This window comes from Homo sapiens, chromosome 1 (genome assembly GCF_000001405.40).
Source record: "Homo sapiens chromosome 1, GRCh38.p14 Primary Assembly".
In the NCBI taxonomy this organism is placed as follows: Eukaryota; Metazoa; Chordata; class Mammalia; order Primates; family Hominidae; genus Homo; species Homo sapiens.
The window spans coordinates 115,247,982-115,271,832 of NC_000001.11; the positions used below are offsets into that span (position 1 = coordinate 115,247,982).

Genomic DNA, 23,851 nt, shown 5'->3' on the forward strand with positions numbered 1-23,851 from the left:
CAGGAAAGTATCTCAGGAAAGTATCTTTTTGTAGACTCTGAAGTAGCTTCCAAGTGTAGGCTCTCTACTGCTCCAACTTCTTGAAACTGGGCAGAAAGTCCCTCTGTGAAGGAGAATTTGGCAACTCATCTCTGTGGCTACACAATATGTAATGGCATACATTTGACAATGTATGCTTACTATTAGCATAAAAATTGGGCTAGAATAGGAATAGCATATGCAAATATATTTTACAATCATGATTGGTGGTGGCAGTAGTAGTATTATGCTCAGACAGATATGTGTGAAATGTGGATTAAAGCAAATGAATAGTAATGGATATTTTAATTCTATTACCCTTCATGTCCTTGAGGATAAAAACAATTTTTATATATGTATATCTACTGAAAGGCCTAGAGAAAGACTAGGCCAGTATCAATGAACATTGCTAGAACCTAGAATGTAATATTGAATTATCATTTCCTTCGAAAAGATACCAGGGCTTTTTGGAGAAATGACTGATTCAACATTTGGCAAAGGAATGTATTAGATTAGACTAGAATATTTTGTCATGCAAAATAGCAAAGAAAGTAACAAAGACTATTAAAATCATAACGAAAGGACTAAGGAACCAACTTGAAGAGACTCCTTTTGGCCAAAGAAGGGATAAAGAATCAATAAGAATAAGAAAATTGAAATATATTTACATTCTTGTGTTTATAATGATATTTTAAGAACTAATTGGGTGATGATAGAAAATCAATTTGTTATCTTAAAATTAGTAAGAGGAAATAATAAGCATTTATTCTGCCTTCCTAAATGAACTGAATTATTGAGTAACAAAGTAGCAAAATGAGGGAAGAATTTCTTTATAAAGTTCTCCCAGCTAACAAATAAAAACAAAATTATAAAATTAGAAATATCACCATAATCCAACTGCTAATTAATTATTGGATCTGGACAATAAGCAACAATATCACAAGAAGAGAGACAACCAGGCATTGTATGCCTCCTGATGAATAAACGTTACACCACCTGTAGTATTGTGAAAGAGATCAAGCCTAAATCTGATTGAGCCTCTAGATGCAGCTGCCATTTTTTAAAAAATCCAGGGAACAGAGGAATGTGTTGAACTCCACTATGGGCATGCCATAAGCAAAATCCAGACTGTAGGAAACTCTGGGAGTCAAAAGTCTTGGGTTTCAACAGCTAAATTAAAAGAAAAAAGAAAGAAATGGATGAAAAACTGTAGAGTAAAAGAAATGTTAAAGACCTAACTAACAATATTTTTTAAATGGACATGACAGAATGCTATAGTATCTAATGATGCATACTTAGGTGAGAGAAAAAGCCATTAAAAAACATTCTTATGTGATTACCGTAAAAATCAGGATATGGTTACTTTTGTAGGAATAGGGGGTTGAGATTGGGCCAAGACAAATGGAGGGCTCCTGGGTGGCTGGCAAAATTCTATTTTCTTTTTCTACCATAGTGATGGTTCAGGAATGTTGACTAAAATATTTCACTAGTCTATACATTTGTTTATGCCGTTTTATGTATATGTTTTTCATTTTATAGTAAAATGGCTAAACATTTTTAAAAAGTAATAACAATAAAATAGCAACTTTTGAAGTATGGTTAAAGCTGTACCCAGAGGAAAATTTATAGTCTCAAATGTTTACATTAGAAGAGAAGTTAGGTCATAATTAGTAAATTAAGTTAGAAAAAAACAAAACCAAGTCAAATAAAGTAGAATAAGGGAAATCAAGAAGATAGGAACAGAAATTAATGCATTAAAAAACTAAGATAAAAGATCAATGAAGCCCGAGTGGAGACACTGATAAAAATTATAAAATCAATTATAAGATTGATGAAGAAAAGAAGGAGGTATGTCATATATAGATCATAACATATCTATAGAAACAGGAAATATTTAAAAGACAAGAGGGTATAATGAAAAACTTTATACCAATAAAATTGGAAAACATAGGTGAAAGGGAAAAATTCCTGGACTCAACATTATAAAATGTTTTCAAACTTAATCCAAGAAAAATTAGAAAATATGAATGTTTGTATGAACATTTTAAGGAATTAAGTATTGAAAGAGCTTCCTAAAGAGAAAACACCATGCCCAGACTGTTTTCTAAGCAAGTCTTATAAGAATGCCTACTATCACACTTCTATTTAACATTCTTCTAGATGATATACCTAGCAAATAAAACAAGAATTATAAATGAAATTTATAAGATTTGAATAGGAAAAAAATGAAAAAAATAAAAATGTAGTTTATAGATATGGTTTTCAATACAAAAAACTAAAATAATCTGCAAATAAATAACTAAAATTTAGAGATTCATGTTTGTCAGATATCAATGTATAAATACAAATGTCTATATATAAATAGAAAAGTCTATGGTGTGTCTATATAATGGCAGTATTTTACATTTATATTGAGTTTGAGGGATTCCAATTAATAGCATCTATTTTCCCAGCCTGAGTTCTGAACCAGACAAAACATAGAGATACAGAAAAACTAAACAAATAACCCGATTAAAAATGGACAAAGGACTTGAATAGACTTTTTTTTAAAGAAAACATACAAATGGCCAACAGGTATATAAACTCAATATCACTAATTATCTGGGAAACCAAATGTAAGCCACAGTGAGATATCATGTCACACCTGTTAGGATGGCTATTGTTAAAAGTCAAAAGATAGTATGTGTTGGTGAGAATGTGGAAAAAAGTGAACCCTTGTATACCGTTAGTGAGAATGTAAATTGATACAGCCATTATGAGAACAGTAACATTCCTCGAAAAATTAAATATAGAACTACCTTATAATCCAGCAATCCCACTTCTGGGTATCTATCCAAAGGAAATAAATCAGTATCTTGAAGATATATCTGCCCTTTCATGTTCTTTGCAGCATTATTCACAACAGCCAACATATGGAAACAACCTAAGTGTCCATCAATAGATGACTGGATAAAGAAAATCACACACACACACACACACACACACACACACTTCAGCCTTGAAAAAAATATATTGTTGGCTGGGCGTGGTGGCTCACGCCTGTAATCCCAGCATTTTGGGAGGCCGAGGCGGGTGGATCACCCTCGGCCAAGAGGTCAAGAGATCAAGACCATCCTGGCCAACATGGTGAAACCCTGTCTCTACTAAAAATACAAAAATTAGCCAGGTGCGGTGGCACGTGCCTGTAGTCCCAGCTACTCAGGAGGCTGAGGCAGGAGAATCATTTGAACCTGGGAGGTGGAGGTTGCACTGAGCTGAGATCGTGCCACTGTACTCCAGCCTGAAGACAGAGCAAGACTCTGTCTCAAAAAAAAAAAAAAAAAAAAAAAGATATTGTACTGTTTGTAACAACATGGATGAAGCTTGAGGACATTATGCTAAGTGAAATAAGCCAGACACAGAAAGACAAATACTGCATGACCTCACTTAACATGTGGAAACTAAAAATAATTTGAGCTCATAGTGACAGAGAGTAGAATGGTGGTTACCAGGAGCTGTAGGGTGGGGGAAAAGAGGAGGTATTCATTAAAGGATACAAACCTTCAGTTATAAGTTAAATAAGTACTGGAGACCTAATGCAGGAAACGTGGTGAGTATAGTTACTAATAATGTGTCATGTACATGAAATTTGCTAAAAGAATACATCTTAAGTGTTCTTACCACTCACACATACACACACAGACACACACACAATGGTAACCACGTGATGTGATGGATATGTTAATTAGCTTGATTGTAGTAATCATTTGACAATGTATACATATACTAAAATGTCACATTTTATACCATAAATATATAGAATTTTTATTTATCAATCTTACCTAAATAAAACTGAAAAAAAAAGAACAGGTAGATAGAGGCTGAAATACTTTTATTACCAAAAACATTGATTTTGGAGAATGTCGCTAATATTTATGCAAAAGAGAGATTCATAATCCTGAATTCCAGAACCAGACAGCCTTATCCAGTGAGTCACCAGCAGCATATGAACACCAGATGCTGGTGTTTCTGCATCTCCTGTAAAGGAGGGGTTGTTTCTGTTAGGTTTTCTGCATGGCTTAGAGTAATCAAGACCACATATTCTCATAGACAGAGCAGCTCCTAAGAGGAAGGAAAGAGGAAATGCCTGGGCATGAAAGCCAAGTTTATCCCTTCAAATCATTAATCAGATTATGTTGCTTCTTCTCCCCCAGGGCCAGAGTGAGTGAGGGGCAGAGACAACCAGGATTGTTTCAGGGGTGAAGCTCCCTCCACGTGGAAGAGAATATTTGGAGTAGGGAAGGATTTCCTACCTCCTAGTCAAAAAAGAATTTGTAATATCACTCCCCCTCAAAAAGGCTGGCCCCTAGGAATAGATTTTAAAAAACATATGCAAGATTTTTATGGAGAGAGGTATAAAAATTTACTGAAAGATATTAAAGACAACCTAAATAAATACAGACATATCATGGTCACAGACAGGAAGACTGACCATTGTAAAAGTTATTAATTTTCCCCAAATCAATCCACAGGTTCAATATAATTCTAATAAAATTCTGAAGTAAGATTGTGAAGAATTTGACTATTTTTAAAGTTTATATGGATGATCAAAATGCAGTACACAATATACTCCCAGAGAAAAATGTTAGATAGGAAGACTTGCTCTACCAAATCAAGTCTTATTTCAAGCTATCATAATTAAAAGTGTGGTTTGAGTGCAGAGATAGGAAGAAAGCCCAATGGAACAGAATAGAGCCCAAAGACAGACGCATACATAACTGATGAAAGCCATTACAGGAAGAGCTGGCATTGACGATAAGCTGGGAAAAGACTAACCATTTAACAGATGACATTAAGACAACTGCTCGTCTATGTGGGGGAAAAACTGGATCCCTGCCACAGACACACATTCTAAATAAGTGTAAGGATTCCACTGAAAAAGGAAAACTACAAAATGTTTAATGAAAAATATAGAAAATAGCTTTTAATTTTGGGAGTGGGAAAGAATGCCTTAAACAATATTCATATGAGGAAATCCTTATAAAATTAGATTATAAATTTGACTGCATCATAATCAAAAACTTCTTTCTTTCAAAAGACACCATAAAGAAAAGAGATAAGCCCCAAATTGTTAGAAAATAGTTGCAACATATTAACTAATAAATAATTAATATCTATTATAGAACAAAACTCTGTGAATTAATAAGAAAAAGAAACATGGGCCAAACATATGAACAAGCCTTTCGCAGAGAAGAAATAGGACTGGTTAATAAATGTGAAAAGATGTTCAACTACATAAGTAATATCACAATTGGGTAGCACTTATATCTTCTATATTTTCAAAAACTAACAAATCTTACAATACTAAGTATTTGGAGAATGTGGAACAAAAAAAATATTCCTACACTGCTGGCTGGAGTATAAATTGCCTTAAGCATGTGGGAAAACCATTTGGCATTCCTTGGTATTGTTGAAGACGTGAATGTCCTGTGATATAGGAATTCTACACCAAAGTATCTTTCCTAGAGAACTTGCACAGGTGCCCCAGGAAACATGAACAAGACTATGATTGCAGCATTGTTTGCAACAGCAAAAATGGAAATAATGCCAGTCCATCAACACTAGAATGGGTAAATAAATCATAGTACACTTATGTAATGAAATATTACACAAAAGTAAAAATGAGTGAATGACAATTATACACACTAATAGAGGTGAACCTCATATTGATAAAAAATTATGAAAGAATACATGTAGTATGATTCAATTTATATAAATCTAAAAAGGCAAACAAACTTATTTTGGGGGATATATTAATTATGGTAAACATATAATGGAAAGCAAGAGCATAATTAACAGCAATTTCAGTTATTTCAGGGTCAGGGATAAGGGGAAAGGCTTACATGGACTTTCAAATACACTGATTGCTATGACCTAAATGTTGTTGTTCCCTCAAAATTCATATGTTGGAACTTAATTTCTAATGTGATAGTATTAATAGGTAAGGCTTTTAGGTGGTGATTAAGTGATAAAGGCAGAGCCCCATGAATAGGATTAATACCATTATGAAAGTGAGGGACACTGTTTGCCCTTTCTGCCATGTAAGGACACATAGAAGTCACCATCTATGAGGAACAGGTCCTTCCCAGACACCAGATCTGCTGGCACCTTGATCTTGAACTTCCTCCAGAACTGTGAACAATAAATTCTGTTGTTTATAAGTTGCCCAGTCTAAGACGTTTTGTTATAGCAGCAGGAACAGACTAAGACATTATCATATTCTATGTTTAAAAGAAAGAGGTGGCCGAGGCGGGCGGATCACGAGGTCAGGAGATCGAGACCATCCCGGCTAAAACGGTGAAACCCCGTCTCTACTAAAAATACAAAAAAATTAGCCGGGCGTAGTGGCGGGCGCCTGTAGTCCCAGCTACTTGGGAGGCTGAGGCAGGAGAATGGCGTGAACCCGGGAGGCGGAGCTTGCAGTGAGCCGAGATCCCGCCACTGCACTCCAGCCTGGGCGACAGAGCGAGACTCCGTCTCAAAAAAAAAAAAAAAAAAAAAAAAAAAAAAAAAAAAAGAAAGAGGTGCCTGCATGTGTACTTATTTAATAAATACTTTTATATAGTAGACATAAATTACACATACTATATATTAATATATGGTACAATGTATTTTATTTGAAGAATGAAAGAACATTCCTCTGAAAATGATATACTGAAAGGTTCAGAATAAAACTAGCAAATTATTGGGGATTTTCAGTGAAATGCAAGAAGACGTAGTTTGTATAAAAAAGTAGCAGAAAATTCTAAGGAGACAACAGGCTGGGATGAAAAATCAGCAGGCTGAGAAACGAAATAAAGAGCATAGAATCAATTTGGAGGGGCTGAGATAATTTTTTTAATTATGGAAAATTAATATACAATAGTGGAATTTAAATCCATATTGGAAACAATAAGAAGATGATTTTATAGTTTTGAAAATTGAATCAATAATGTGAAGAACAAACTTCAGATTTTCCAAAAGACAGACAAAAGAGACAAAGACATAAAACTGATGTGAGAAGATGAACGATCTGGATGGGTCCAGTTGTTTCTTTCAATCCTTCCTGGACATCTCCAGAACTAGGGTTGGTGCCTTTCTCTTGTGTTCCCACAGCAACCTGCATTACCCTATTGGAGTACTTACCACATTCTGGTGTGATTACCTGCTTGCTTTTCTCCCTCTCCTGCCTTGGAGGTTAGTCTGTAATATTCATAAACTCTATCTGATTCATGATGTATTGCCCAGAGTATAGGCAGGGTTTGCAACACAGTATTTGCATCCTTCAGGGTAGAGTCAGTTGCGTCTAGCAGAAATTCCTAGTCAAAATATTTTAGACCAGTGTTCAGCAAACCACAACCCACAGGTCAAATCCAGGCTGTTGCTTGTTGTGTAAATGTTGTTTTCAATGTACTGAATGTTTATTGCCTCCCAAAATTCATATGTTGAAATCCAAGATGATGGTATTAGTAGGTGGGGCTTTGGGAGCTGATTAGGTCTTGAAGGTGGAGCCCTCATGAACAGGATTAGTGCCCTTATAGAAGAGACCTTAGAGAGATCCTCACCCCTTCTGCCATGTGAGGCTATAGCAAAAAGAGAGCTAGCTGTTTATGAGCTAGGAATTGGGCCCTCACCAGGAAACAAGTCTGCTAGTACCTTGATTTTGAACTTCTCAGCCTCCAGAACTGTGACAAATAAATTTTTGGTGTTTATAAGCCATCCAGTCTATGGATGCTATTTTGTTATAGCAGCCCGAATGGACTAAGACAATGTTTTATTGGTACACAGCCACTCCTTTATGTCTTGTCTATGGCTGCTTTTATGCTGCCATGGCAGAGTTGAGGAGTTGCTACAGAGAAAATATGGCCTGTAAAGGGCACAATGTTTATGAAAAGTTGCCAAACCCTAGCTTAGACAACAATAGGATTTTTTAATCTTATATATCATGAATTTCAGAGGTATTGTGGGCCCAAGATTGATCGAGTGGCTCAGTGACATCATTAGGAACTCAGATTCTCTACACCTTTTCACACTGCCATTATTGACAAGTTGGCTACATTCCCTGGTCCCTGATGAGTATCCAGAAACAAAAAAGAACTGGCTTTTTCTTGTGTCTCTTTTATGAAATTAACACAGATGTTCCAAAAGCCCCTCAGGAGACTTTCTCTCATGATTGGCCAAAACTGAGTCCGTAAACCACCACCTAAACTACTCCCTAAATCAGTAATTGACAAAATTTACAGAGACATCATGATTAGCCTATATCAAGCAGGATTAACCTAAGTCATTTGAAAGAGGAACAAATACTGGGAAAAAAATCGAGGTTCCATGAGCGTTTAGGAAGGGGGAAATGGCTTTTACATAGGCAATCAATAGTGGATGCTGTAACACTCAGTAAATATTTTTTGAATGAATTAATTACCAGTAAAACCTCTAACATTTGGATAACTGATGCTTCTGAAGAGTCCAGGGAAAAATGAGCAGAAGAAATAATTAAGGTTGCAATAGAAAAAATAGAATAACCTTTTTCTGCTCTGAACAAGGACTGATGTATATAGATTACAAAGATTTAATGTGTTCCAGGGGAAAAAAATCAATGAAAAGAGATTGTTGGCTAGATTTTTCTGACCAAAATTTTGAATTACAGAATAAAAAAAGAATTACCCAAGTGACAATATGAAAAAACAATATACTGCAAATGAACTGAGATCAAGCTGTCCTTAGATGTATACTCTTCAACATTAATTACCAGAAGATAGTGGAGCAATGTATATGTATGTAAACACCAAAAAGCTGTGACTCAAGTGCATTTTCACAGCCAAGTTTTCTTCCATGTGTGAAGGTAAAAGAAAGCTATTTTCTGACGTGCAAGGACTCAGAAAATATACCTACTTATACCTTCTCGAAAAAATAATTTCTAAAGATGTACTCTTACTAAGGATGAAGAAAAATTAAGTGTTCAATAATGGTGAGGCCATGGTATAAAGAGTCTGATATCCGCTATTTGCCAGATGCTAGGGCAGCAACTCTCAACCAGGGAGTCTGTCAAAGTATCTTTATTGCCCTAGGAGGCATGTCCCTGGCTTCCTTCTTCCACCCTAAATGAAAATCAGTGTGTAATAAGGGGTGGTACTGTAAATCTAGAGCCATCTAGGGCAGTGCTTCACAACCCTGATAAAAATATCAATGCTTGATCCCACTCCAGAAGTTCTGATTTGTTTTGGAGTGAGACCCAGACACAAAGCTCTCCAAGTGATTAGAATATGCAGTCAAGGTTGGGGAGTACTCTTCTAAGAGAAGAAAGCCTGTATTAGTTTGCTAGGGCTGCCATCACAAGTTCCATATACTGGGTGGCTTAAGCAACAGAAATGTGTTGTTTCAGGTCTGGAGGCTAGAAGTCTGAGATCAAGTTTTTGGCAGGGTTGGTTTACTCTGAGGCCTCTCTCTTTGGCTTGTAGATGGTCATCTTCTCCCTGTGTCTTCAGGTGGTCTTTCCTCTGTATCTATCTGTATCCTAATTTCCTCTTCTTACAAGGATGCCAGTTTTATTGGATTAGGATCTACCCTAGTGAATGACCTCATGTTAATTTAGTTTCTTCTTTAAAGACCCTATCTCCAAATGTAGTCACATTCTGTGGTACTGGGGTTAGGACTTCAGCATATTAATTTTTTGGGGAAAAAATTCAGACCACAACACAGCCTTTGGCTCTTCCACATCTTAAGGAGTAGGAGGGATTCTGAAGAGTCATCAAATCTAAGGAATTTGGCTAGACCAAAGAACTAATGGTATGGTCTGCCTCTCTCTTAGGATCTCAAATCTTAGAAATTCCACTCCTGCTCCATAGTGATGCACTTTTTGCTTCTACTACAAGGCTGATGAGAGGAATAGAACTCACTGCTGCCTCTGCCTAAAATTTCTGTAGCAAGTAGCTCTAGGCACTGGAAGACTCTCTTCCTTGCTTTGTCTAACCCACCACACTAGCACTTCCACTCTGTTGTGCTAATGAGATGAGACAGCCAAGCAACTTCTCGCTCCATCCTGCTGAGTTCTGCTCAAGACCCTGGTACTATGCTCACTTGCCTTAGTGCAAGGAATTTAGAGTTTAACTTTGAAGTAAGGATGATAATAGTCCCTCCCTAAAACCGAACCCCTCCTTGTTTGGAGACTGAAACTGCCTCTGTAAAACTAATAACAGCTGACAAGACTAGGATTATGGGAGGGGCCCAAATTCTGCTAAGATGTAGGCATAGTTAAACGATAACCAGCCATTGTTCTCCAGCTTGCTTTTCTATAATCCCTTACTGCTCACGGCCAGAAGTCACAAGATTTGTGACTTTCCCCATTTCTCCTATAGATAACAACACTGTTGTAGAACCTAAGATTGTTTTTTCAGACTTTCACATTCTGGCAACTGACTGACTTCATCCAGACCTGTGACTCATGACTCAACTGCTCCCATGGCCCCCACCCAGAGGGTGACTCAGCACACAAGGACCGTTTTCCACACCCCTATGATTTCATCCCTAACCAATCAGCAGTACCCATTCTGTAGCCCCCTGCCCACCAGATTATCCATAAAAACCCTATCCTCTGAGTTCTTGGGGAGGCTGATTTCAGGAATAAACTTCTGTTCTATCACTTGGCTAGTTCTGCATTTATTAAACTCTTTCTCTATTGCAAGACTGCTATCTCAGTAAATTGGTTTTATCTGTGCAGCAGGCAAGAAGAACCCATTGGGAGGATGTTGAAAATTAAAATAAGGTGGTCAGCAAAGTCTTTATTTCTTGAGAACATGATGTTTGAGCAACGCATGAAATGAGAGCAAGAAAAAAAATCAATCTACAAAGGGAAGCATAGAGACTGTTAAGGGGACATTGAGGCCTGATTTAGGAAAGAAGAAATAAGAGATCACTTAGTCACTCGCAGTTCAAACTTCCAGGCTTAGTAAAAATGTACCTAGAGGACTTAAAAAGATGCATAGGAGTTTATTCCCACTCAAATGGAGACAAATATTGTGTTCTTTCAGAAAATAGGAAAATATAGATTCTAATACTGCTTGGTTAGATTTCTCTGTTTCCTTGACAGAATTCTAGAACACATTCACAAACAGGTGATTTGTGTGCATTTAGACAAGGAAGTAGTTATTGGTGTCCAAATATACCCATATTATATAACATACTCCTAATATCTCTACACAGGGTGTGTGTGTGTGTGTGTGTGTGTGTGTGTGAAAAAGAATGAGAAAGAGTGAGAGTGAGAGTAAGAGAGAGAGAGGGAGAGACAGCACAGATTCCCTGGCCAACTAATTTGAAATTCTTTCTAGAATGTCACTCTAAACAGAGATTCACAATGCACATTAGCATACGAAAGGCTCTGCAGTAAATAAAATAGTTTAATTTTATTTAACCCAAGAATGCTCCTTAAAAAAACCCAAAACCTATTATCTGGTGGAAAGAATGTTTTATAAAACATACTTACGGGGAAAGCAGGGAGGAGGAGCATCAAGATAATGTATGCTGGGCTTAATACCTAGGTGATGGGTTGGTAGGCACAGCAAACCACCATGGCACACGTTTACCTATGCAACAAGCTTGCAGATGTGCCCTGGAACTTTAAAATAAAATAAAATAAAATAAAAAACATATAGATACACCATGTGAGAAGAAAGGATCAAAGGTGGCAATCGAACACCAAGGAATTGGACTAGACAGTGGAGGGTTTTGGAGCAAGAATGGACTAAACTAGAATAAGCAAGAATAGCCCTCTGCAATAACCAGGAACAGCTGGGGGTAGTGATGTGGGGCAAGCTAGGCAGGCTTAAAGGGCCAGAAAGCAGGCAAGTACCAGCATATGCACAAGTTCTCTAAGAACAAATCATTCCAAACTAAACTCATTTTCTTTGACAAGTGATTGAACCTGCATATCCAGGTAATGCTATAGACAGTACATTTTGACTTCAGGAAAGCATGTGATAGAGTTTCTTATAATATATTTATGGAAGGATGAAAGAAAATAGGTTAAATTATAGTATAAATATTGGCCTTTTAGCTGGTCATCACAGTTATTCCTAAAGAACATTGATTGTTGGACTGCTGCTGTCAAGGTGGAGGGAAGTCTCTTGATGTCTGCAAGTAGGGGCAATGTAGAAAAGTGGCTAAGACCAAAGGCTCTGAAGTTGGACTGCCTGGCCTCAAATCCTGCCTCTGCCATTTACTAGCTGGATGACTGTGGGCAAGTTGCTTAACCTCTCCATGCTTCAGTTTCCTCATCAATAAATGAGGGATACTAATGATACCTACATGTTAGTATTGATATGAAGATTAAATGTGTAAATTCATGAGAAGCATTTAATAGTGCTTGCCCATGGTAAACAATAAAAAAATAAATGTTGGTAATTATTGTATATTCTGTTCTGGAACCTAATGAATACACACTTTTTTTTTTTTTTTTAAATCTTGGGCTTGGATTAAGACACACAAGCCACTTTCTTCCCAAAGATGGGAGGGATGGATGACATATTAGATGACAAAGTCAAGGTACAAAAAGATTTCAACAGGCTAAATGAAGCATTTAAATTGTGAAGATAAACATTTCAGAGGTAAAGCTCTAAAAAAATTTCAAGGTCAGCTCTATGCCTCAACAAATCTACAAAGTCCAGGATAGGGTGAAGGTGAGTTAAAAGCAGTTAATACCTGGAGGGGGACATGAGGGAAACCCACAGGTAAACCACAGAATGCTATAATTTTCTGGTTTTCTAAAGAACAAAGGTTAAGGGAAGTGATGGTTTGAGTGTTTTCTGTACTCAGCAGACCACATTCAGAGGATTTCATTCCTTTGAGGGAGTGTCCTGCCTGTCTGCAAGCTATCTTCAAGTGGGAGCATATCAGGTGGGGCTGCGTGAATGACTAGGGAATGGCCCCACAATCCCATCACGTGCAGGCTGGTATCAGAAAATGGGGACTATTTAGCCCCAAGAAGGGAAGACTCCAAGGAGGCCTGACAATTCTTTTAACATATTTGAATGTCTGCCATGGAAAAGAGGGATTTATTTGATTTATCCTTTGAAGCTTCACAGGGTAGAGCAGGTCTGATGATTTGAGTTACAGGGAAGCAATTTGGGTGAATGTAGAGAAGTGACCATGAATAAGAGACCTGGACTTCCCGGGAAGTGGTGAGCTCCTGTTATTGGAGGGCCCCCCACAGAGGTGAGATGCCCCTAGCCAGGCCAGCCTGGTGACAAGAAAATCCCTGCATGGGGAGGGGTGTCTTTGTATATGCCCTCTAAGGCCCCTGCTGACTCTGAGATTTGCCATTCTGTGGGTCTGGTAGGTTTGGGAGAATTTTCTTTGAAGAAAAATTCTCATGAGTTTATGTTATGTCTGGGGGAAAATGCACAGGAGCATTTGGGAGTTGGTCTACTGATTACTGGAAAGGGGGCAGTGAGAGAGGCTGCCACCCATTGTCACACCACAGTCCACTCACCTCTAGCCCATCTCTTTTTACAGCATGAAGAAGGCCTTGCAAACAAAGCCATTTTGTGAGAAAATAAAATAAAAGCAAAACCAAGCAAGTGTGCATGCTGTAGAAAGGGAACACTTACTTGGAGAGTTTGTTTGATTCTTCTTCTTTAGTTATTTTCTAAGCAGCTTGGCAACAGACCTATTGGAGACAGCTTCTATGCACTGGAGTGTGAGTTTCCAAGCATTATAGGCACAGATGTTTTGGAAATCTAAACAGGCTGTCTGAAGCTGCTTTTTTAAAGTGAAGAACCGTTTTCAACAAATGTGGCAATCCATTTCAATTAAATATTTTAAAAGATTTTTGTGCTTATGTAAAGAACAGTTTTAATTCCATGGTCTGACCCTAACTTCTTCATGGAAATGACCAGAACTCCTGTGCTATTGAAATCCAGGGCCACAGACAACTGATTCTACCACAAAGGAGAATACCCACCCCCGACCCAACTCTTTGTTTCCACCCATGTGGGCCTTTTCTCTGCCCCTATTTCTCTTATTTTAGCATATATTTAATTAAGGCTTCTGTGTTCCTGGTCCTGATAATACATTTCAACAGAAAAACAAGGCCCACATCTTCAGGAAGCTTAACATCTAGAGTGGGAAATAATTTGACCCATATGAAATGACTTGAGGATAATTGTAAGGCAATTAACAGGTCTGGCCATGGCAAGGATGGAGACAGGCCATACTCACCACCTCCCGCGCCACAATGCTTTTTGTGTGTGTAGAAAACCTCATATTATGGCAGCTTCTTGGGGAACACACTTACAGAGAGGGGTAGTTGCAAAGTCTGTTACGTAAATCTCAATGCCCTAGCGAGCGTGATGCTCTAGTTGGCCCCTGTTCTTCGGGAGGCAACTTAGAAGAGAGTATTGAGGAGGAACTTGGTAGGAACTGGCTGGCATAGAATGTGTGTATCTTCCACTTGGCTTTGAGCAGGAACAGAAAGAACGGTTCAGATAACTGCATACAGTAATCCTGGTTAATTAATGTTCCACAGATGAGTTAAAATATATTGTCATTCCACATTCATTTTTTGAGTTTTTATCTTTTATGGGCTAATATCTGCTAAGTGTGTGGTAACTGATTGCAAGAGAGATCTTATTCCTGCAGAAAAGACAGACTTGTGAACAAAATTTTCAGTATGTTAGTTACAAAGAATTAACCAAGGCACCCTGTTTTCCAGCCACAGGTCAGAATGAATTCTCTGGGGCTGCTTTGCATACCAAGTGTTCTGAATTAAACCTTAAAAGTGTCTTTATTTTTTAACTTCTCATACACAGTGATTAAACAAAAAATGAAGAAAAAAGAATTAAAAAGACATTGACAGGAATTGATAAACACTGTGTTTCATTTAGGGTTGGGAGCGTGAAGAATATGTCTCTTCTTTTTCTGCTAGTTATTATCCATCTGAAGGGATTATGTCATTATTTGTCCAACCTTCATGAACCTCATGAACAGCAGTGCTCTCCACGTAGAAGCTGGACTTAAGATTCACCCTCTTAATCCTGAAGGCTTCCTGCTGTGTCCCTTGCTTGAAAGACAGGGTTTGCAGAAAGGATGTTGGGTTTGGCTAACCAACAACATTTGATTATTTTATTTTGTTAAAGATTGCAACATTATGCAGCCGTTTCCCCTCCTGTCAGGATTTCTTTCTCATGACTTTCATTTCTTCAGAGGTGTTGAGACCATAGTGCCTGGTTTCAGGCTGGACACACGTCCTTCTCCTAGAGTCTACAAGTCAGTCTTTATTCTACAGGAAAACATCCAACTGAATGCTGAGTGTGCATTGACCTCTCATTCAGTCTTCAACAGGGAACATATAGTTCTGGTTCCTTCTTCCAGAACTTTTTTTCTTTAAGTTCCAGAACTAAGTTCCTTTAAGTCCTTTAATGAGTTATATCTGCTACATGGATATCTTTGTTCCTAGCTGTTTGTCTGTTCAAAAAGAATTGGTTACCAAAGTGAAAGGGGGGCTTTGGGGTGGGTAATTCCTATTTGAGACCCTTTGAGTCTTACTTGTTTCATTTGTAAAATAGATTGAGGTAATGTAATGGGTGCATGGGTTCTTTAGAAATGGTAAAGATCTATAACATTACACAGTATTGGCCAGGTGTGGTGGCTCACACCTGTAATCCCAGCACTTTGGGAGGCTGAGGCTGGTGAATCATGAGGTCAGGAGATCGAGAGCAGCCTGGCCAACATGGCGAAACCCCATCTCTACTAAAAATACAAAAAATTAGCCAGGCCTGGTGGTGGGCGACTGTAATCCCAGCTACCCGGGAGGCTGAGGTGGGTGAATTGCTTTAACCTGGGAGGTGGAGGTTTCAGTGAGCTGAGAACGTGCCACTGCACTCCAGCCCGGGTGACAGTACGAGACTCTGTCTCAAAAAAAAAAAAAAAAACCACAGTATTATTATAAAATATGCCCCATGCAATATTGCAATGGCAAGAAATTTCTTGCTAAATTTACACCACCTAGAAAACTTGGAGTCATCCTTTACTCCTCCTCCTTCATCACCTATGTCTAATCTTCCACCAGATCCCACTGATTTGCACTGCAGTATCTGATACTTTTCTTCCCACTGTCTCCACCCTAGTCCAGGTTCTCATTTTACCACCATATCTCCTGCCCCCATCCACCTCTCGCCTTCTTACACACAACTGGAGTGAAGGTCCTGCCCCACTGTTCAAAGAATTACTGTGCTGCCTGCTAGAGATGCCAGCAAATCCCACCTCCACTTTCTGGCCTCCAGTGCCTACTATCAACATTTCTTACACCCCTGTCTCACCAATTCAGATCTCCTAATTCATTAACATGCATTCCTCACTCTTAAAAATATATTTGTCACTACAGGAATGTGATTTCAAATGTCTGATTTTTTATTCCTTTAACCCTTTCAATAAACATTGGTTGTTTTACTTTCTCTGTGCCAGGCATTGTGCTCTGTTTGCTGTAAGAAATAGGCCTTAGTCTCCAGGCAGTACTGTGCAGAATGAAAGATCCGGGTTTGAATCTTGGCTCTGACGTTTACTAGCTGTGTGATCTTGGATAAGATGCATGTCTTTTTGAGTCTCAGGTTCTTCATCTTGTGTTGCAAGGTGTAAATGAAACAATGTATCTGATCCATATCATTGGTCTTTTGTAATTGTCAGAAGTTACTATTATCATTATTATTGTTAATAAGCCAGGTCAGCCAACACTGTAATTCAGCTAGAGGAAGGAGAAAATGCAGGGAGGAAGGAGCGAATGCAAGGAAAAAGATGATGGGCCATTTCTGTGGTAGACAACAAGGCTCGGTTTCAGAGCACGGGTGAAATACCCCCAGTGATGCAATAAATCGTAGAGAATATCTGGTGGGAAATGTTATTCCTGTATTGGGTGCTACTGTGGCCAGTGTGGCTTGGGGAAGGCATAGTTACACTTAAGGGTTTGGCCATTCTCCTTAGCTTCCTGGGAACATCAGGGCCACCTGTCTCCTTTTCTTCCCTTGCCACCTACACCTGTATGTAGAGTGTTTCTCATCTTTACCCTTTGTACTTCTGTTTGTGCTATGAAGCAGCAGATTCTGCGTGTATTACAGGGTAACTCTTATTTCCTAAGGCTTTGTATGCTCCTAGAAGGGAGGAAATACCTTATTAATACTGATAACTCCTCCAGTGTTACTGTAAGAGGTTCATGTAATATATACACAAATTGAATGTCAGTGATGCCTCATTGATTATGGATCAGTTCCAAACTCAGCCCACAGCCAAAATTCTCTAACTTTATCTTTCACTGTTCCCTAGGGGTGCTTTAGACAATCCAGTCTCCTCATGGTCCTGGAAAAATATAATGCTTATTACATTCTTGTGGTGTAGAAAATTTCATACCCTTTGGAGCCAAGGATACTTATATTTGAAAGCCAGCTCTGTATTTATTAGAAGTATGTGTATAGGAGAATAAGCTTCATGATTTCTCTGACACCCAATGTCATCTGTAAAATGAGGATCATAAAATGTGAACTTTTCTACAAAGCACTTGGAGCATAATAGGTGATATATAAATTTTAGTTTTCTTCCCACTTTCCTCTGTCATTTTCACTTCTTCTGGAGATGCTATTTTCCTTTCTGTGCCTCCCATTTACTTAATTTTCCCCTTTCAATGGTGTAACCACATCTAAATCTTCCTTTTGATTATTCAACTCACTTGGATTTCCCATTCATTCATTCATGCATTCATTCATCAAACTGTAATGTGGCACTTTCTTCACTGAGTCCTTGATTACATACTGCCCTATATTGTTGTCCAGTTGTTGCAGTAACCTGGAGCATTCCCCAAAGCTAAGCATCTGTTAGCCTGGGTCCCTGAACGAGGAGGATGTGGCGCAGAGCCCTGCCTCCTCCGTGACTTACGAAAGACACCTCACATACATGGGAATTTAGGCATTTACAGTTTCAAGTTTCTGAAATTAGCATCAACTAAGTGATCCTGCCTGATACAGATATCTTACCTTCTGAGTAAGGCTAAGTACAAGGACTGTGTCTTCTCATCCCCTCATGTCTCATGGTACCTCAAGGAGTACAGTGCACATACCAGGATTTTAGTGTTTGTTGCTAAGCGAAAATATTTTCCTTCAATTATAGCATCTTGGGATTGAAAGGGATAACTAACCAACTAATGTCAATATTTGTTTGTCTGAATCTTTTCTATATATTTTCTGCCTGGTGTTCAAAAAATTCCAATGACAATTTCATTGCATTCCAAGTCAAATTGACCATTTTTTAGAAAATTATTCTAGAAATTTCAGCCTTATGTAGATTTTAAAAAATGATTTTAATGTAGCATCCTCCCCTTGGTCTGAAGAGGCTCTCAAGTAGTAAGGAAAATGCTGGTGCCTGAGCCCTGCTCCTCGCTGTGCTGGTGTGGAGAAGGGGGTGCTTTCCTCCTGCCTGAGAGAATTTACATTCGTGAATTCCATGATCCAGGTGGAATATTCCCTCCATTCAAGAAAAGCCTCAAAGGCACCAGGCCACTTGTGGAACAGTTTTCAGACATGGGGACATGGCCAGTGGGTGAAGGAAGAGCTTTCTTTTGGCCACCTCGAAGCGTGGAGGGGCTTTGAGGAAAGGCAGGTGCTCTCTATGGTTGTGAATTGTGAGGACAAAGACACTCTATGTGGGATTCCATGGATTTTTCCCTCAGATGTTATAAGGCAATCCCAACTGTTGCCACAAAACCATGCAGAGACACTCATCTGACAGCCCTGAGCTTGGCTGTACTGGCTCTAGTCACAGACGACACTACACTTTCCCCAGGGAAAAACCCATGATTAAGAGGCGTGGGAGGGTCCACTTGCAAGGATGCTGTTGACGTCCATCTGGATAAAGCCTGTAGGGACTGTGATTTATTTCCATGAACTGCGTCTCAGGGCTCTGCAGCCAGTGGTGGTCTGCAGTGGAGCACCAAGTTACATACGCAAGAGCACGCTCAGCGCCTGAGCTATTCAGCCCCAGAGGGATGTAGAAAGTTGAAAGCTCAGCGGAGGAAATAATATCACAAATTAAATGGTTTTGAATCATAACAAAATGAGTTTTTCTTGGAAACTGTTTTGTTTCTTTAAATCAAAAACAAAACCTCTCAGACTACAGAAAAACACAACCCAGAGACTTAGGCAATTTGGGGAGCTCGTCACTCTTTTGCTCCCTCCCCTTTCACTCCTTCCCCTTTCATTTTGAAGAATGATTTCTTTGACAACTGAACAGTCCCCCAGATGAGCCTGTGACTTTCTAAGGCCAAGAGATTGAGTTTTCTTCAGGATGATAGAAAGAGGAGAATAGAAAATGTGATGAATGTGTTTGGGTTCAATCCCGAAACAATTATTTAGTCTGTCTACTTTCCAGGCACTGTAGAGGTGAACAGGAACAAGACTCAGCCCCTATCTTTAAGGTAGAGAAATACTTATTCAATAAATAATTGTGGTGAGTTTCGATACATAGATATGTAGCAACCTAGCATGTGTAAAGCAGCTTTCTTAGGAACAATGAACTTTTCTTGAGTGCCACTATGTGTCAAGAGCTCAATATTTCTCACTAAAACCCAATGAGGCAGAGGTACCCCTTATTATTCTCTCCTCATAGATGGGGAAACTGAGGTACAAAGTGCCTGAGTAACATGGTTAAGGTCTCGCAGCAAGTAAGAGGTGACTGCTATAACTAGAAGCAGATCTGTCTGCTTCTATCACCGATAGACTTAACTATGGAGTTATACACACACGCTTTATTTTATTTAGTACTCCCAACAGACCTGGTAGGTAGCAATAAATATGCTTGTTTTACTAAATAAGGTAATGGACACAGATAGATTAAGTAATAACTTGCCCAAGATATCATGCATAGTAGCAGAGCCAGGGCTTGCTCCAGGTTTGTTTCCAGCAGACCGTCTCTGGAGGACAGTCATAGGCAGCTGGTCAGGACAGATTCATGCTCTCTATCAGATACAGGAGGGGGGTTTGGTATCAACTAGCATCCAGCATGGTGCCTGGTACCTACCAACTCTCTGTTGGTGTTTGTTACCTAAAATTTAATTCAACCTTCGACTTCCTCATAGAGGAAGAAACTAAGATCGAGAGAAGTAAGTGACTTATTTGAATTTGCAGAGCTAGTAAGTGCAATTACTTAAAAACTGAAGTATGAGAAGGAGTTTGCAACAAGAGCCTGGTTATTAGAACCGAAGTGAGGTGGTATATTTGTATTCATTTAGATAGGCTAAGTTACACTGTGAGTATATATTTTTTTCTCTATAGCATAACGACATCTCAATTGCTGAAAGTTTACCAAATGAAGGCTTATTTCTAGTTTATGCTTTAACCCTGTGGCTTAATGGAAAATTCAACACATACTGGTCTCTCAGGATCCAGGCAGAAAAGGGCTCTATCATTGTATGATTTCATCATCTCAACACAAAGTTTTGGGGTTCACCACAGCAGAGAAGGAGGGCACGGAGAATTACACACAGGCTGAAATGCTTCCACTGGGACATGATCCACATCACTTCCACTCACTTCTCATTGACCAAAGCAGCTAACATGGCTGCTTCTAACATTAAGGAGGCCAGGCAGTGGCTTTCTTAAATCCTCCTTTGTGCTTGGAGGGAGCAGAGGCATTAATGACATACGATAGTTGAGTGCTTAGGCTCTAGAGTTGGAGAGTTATGTCTGCGAATTTCATCTGAGACGTTTATTGTTGTGTGATCTTGACTATTTCTCATCTGTGGTTTCTTCTTCTGTAAAATGGGTCAATCATAGTAACATATCAAACACTTAGCCCAGTGTCTCACACAATGTCAGCCCTTAATACATGTTAGTATCACCATGAAGTCACAATCAGTTGGGAAGTATGACAGTTATATTTCTGTTTTAAAAAGGAAGAGGAGGTGGATACGAGGGCAACAAGACTGGCTACAGATACAGTAGTAAGGAAACTAGAGCAGTGTTCCAGGCAAGAGATAACGAGGGCCTGAACAGGGCAGTGGTTGCAAAGACAGAGGGATCAGATCTGAGAAAACTAAGAGCTTAAACTCACAGGACTTGATGATAGTGAGATTTTTTTTTTAATGTTACTGAAGTTCTCTTCAGTACCTTGGAGGTTCACAGTTGGTGGCATGAGGAGGAGTCCTCACTTGGAGTCATCATGGTAAAGTCATAAAGGAGAAGAGACTCTCACAGGAGGCAGGAGGAGTGATGGCCTGGAAGCAGCAATGGGTGCCCAGTGCTACTCCCTCTCTACCCCCACCTTAGCTTGAGGTAAATGAGGAATGGGAGAATGAGAAACCATGGAGAGAGTGGTAGGGGGATGCTATGGTAAATGTTTATATCGCTTCAAAATTCACATGTTGAAACCTAATCCCCAATGTGCTGATATTAAAAGGTGAGGTAATTAGGAGGTGATTCAGTCATGAGGGTGGTGCCCTCATAAATGGGACAATGCCCTTGAAAAAGAGGCCTGAGGGCACTCGTTTGACCCTTTGTCATGTGAAAACACCAAGAGAAGGTGTCATTTATGAAGCAGAGAGCAAGCCCTCACCAGAAAGCGAATCTGCTGGCACCTTGATCTTGGATTTCCCAGGCTCCTGAACTGTTAGCAACAAATTTCTGTCGCTGATGAATTACTTAGTTTATGGTATTTTTGTTATAGCAACCCAAACTGACTAAGACAGGGGAGCAGTGTCCTCAAGATGTGTTAGTTTCTGCTAAGGCTAGAGGGACAGAGTGCAATGGAATGAGATTTCCTGAGGAGGCAAAGGGTGAATACTTGTCAAGGGACTGACTGGGAACCAATCATCTCTTGGGCCCCTAGGGAAGGTTACAACCAGGAGGCATGAGGCTTGAGGTTTGAGGGATGGCAATGCCTCGACCTCGGGGTCTTATCTAATTTCTCTGTGTGTCCCAGGATCTAGCACAGAATACACAGTCAATGCTTGACTAATGTTTCTTAAGTTGGAAGAGAGGCCCCCTTTAAGAAGAAGAGAGAGGCTAAAAAGCCCTTTTCCTGGCCAGACCTGATATTTTTCTATCACTAATGTTGGACTGAAGACATCAGGCAGCAAGTGACAAACACCAACTGAAGCTGGAGAATTTTGCAAGGCTATTCTTATAAATTACTCTGCAGACATAAAGTGTTGTCACTTTTGTCACCGTTTTGTCTTTGAGCAGGATAGGGAGTACCCCTGAATTGAACATTCCTCGGCCAGCCTTTCTGAGGCAGAGACTGACAGAGCTTCTGAGGACAAGACCTTGGGTATGAGCATGTGGAAGTCTCTGCCTATTACTGTGTTCTAGGATAGCCCTGGCCGGACCCCACAAACATGCTATGGGCCAGGGGAGTATCAGCTGTGTGGGCAGTGCATAGATAGCTGGGCCTTTCTGCCCAGTGTTGGTACAGTTACTGCCCGTCACTCTGCAGATCACGCATGGCCAGGAGTAGCTTTTGCGCCTCCTTTCATGCTACTCAGTCCACTGAAGCACTCTCTTCTTTTGTTATCAGATAGCGTGTGCCCAAGAGAAAGGTGAACATACCTAGGAACATTACCAGCCACACACATGGGCTCCTATGTTGCCATCCAAAACCAAATAAACATGTTTTTGAACCAACTGCACCATTGCTCCCTTCCCTCTGTGCAGGTTATAAAGAATCGAGTTGATCCCCTCATTCTATTTGCTCATTAAATAAATTATTATTGTAAAATATATATGAGATAAAATTTACCATTTTAATCACCTGTTTAACCATTGTTAAGTGCACATTTTAGGGCATTAAGTGCATTCACATTAAGTAGTTTCACATTGTTACACAACAGAATCAACTTGCTTTTGCTTTGAGTGCCAGCCACCCTTGTTTCTGTCTTTTTCATATGCCTGCAAATATATCTAGAAGTTCCCTCCATCTTCCCTGTGTACATAAACCTTGGAAAAGATGACACCATGAAAATTGCTCTGAAATGCCATTTGCTGCTCTGTAGGAAATGGGCACTGTTAGATTTCTTATACTCTCGACCCACTGGCATTTTGCCTGTGAGTTATATGACTCCACTCCTGGGCACTTGGTGTAGGGATCGGCCACAATGTGAACCACACATCATTCAAGACATACACCCCCCTTTCCCCCCTTTATGTGAAAAGACAATCATGCTCAAGTTCTTCCATGATTATAGAAGCTAGGAAAAAGCAAAAATTAACAAAATAACACAATATTACCTATTTCTATGGTTTCGTCTTGTCTAACAAAATTATTGATCAATAATTCTAAGTTGGTAGCATTGCTAAACTTTTCCATGGTCCCTCTTCAGTAAGCTGTCTTCTGGGCCCATGTTTCCTGCTTGCTTAGCTTCCTGGAAGTCCAGCCTAGTGTTGGAATGAAGTAAAAAGAGGGAGAGGAGTGGTTAGCAAGACTCTTAGTCTACCTGGCTTGCTTTAACAAAAATACCTTAAACCACATGTCTAATAAACAACAGAAATTTATTTCTCACAGTTGAGGAGGCTGAGAAGCCCAGCATCAAGGTTCTGGCAAATTCAGTGTCTGGTGAGGGCCTGCTTCCTTATAGATGGTGCCTTCCTGCAGTTCCCTCACAGGGTGGAAAGGGCAAGGCAGCTCTCTCTGGCTTTTTATATAAGGGCACTAGTTCCACTCACGTGGGCTCTGTCCTTATTACCTGATCATCTTCTAGAGGCCCTACCACCTAATAGCATCACCTTGGGAGTTTAGATTTCAACATATAAATTTTGAGGGGACACAAACATTCAGACCCTGTGCCACTTTC

At 39.4% G+C, this 23,851-nt stretch overlaps 1 annotated feature.

The window, feature by feature from the left end:
• Nucleotides 9,784-10,983: an enhancer, noted in NCBI's record as "CDK7 strongly-dependent group 2 enhancer chr1:115800386-115801585 (GRCh37/hg19 assembly coordinates)". NCBI's record gives its function as "activates an origin of replication core promoter dependent on BRD2, BRD4, P300/CBP, MED14 and CDK7 cofactors, with strong dependence on CDK7, by STARR-seq in HCT116 cells {active_cell/tissue: HCT116}" and the evidence as "EXISTENCE:reporter gene assay evidence [ECO:0000049][PMID:35650434]".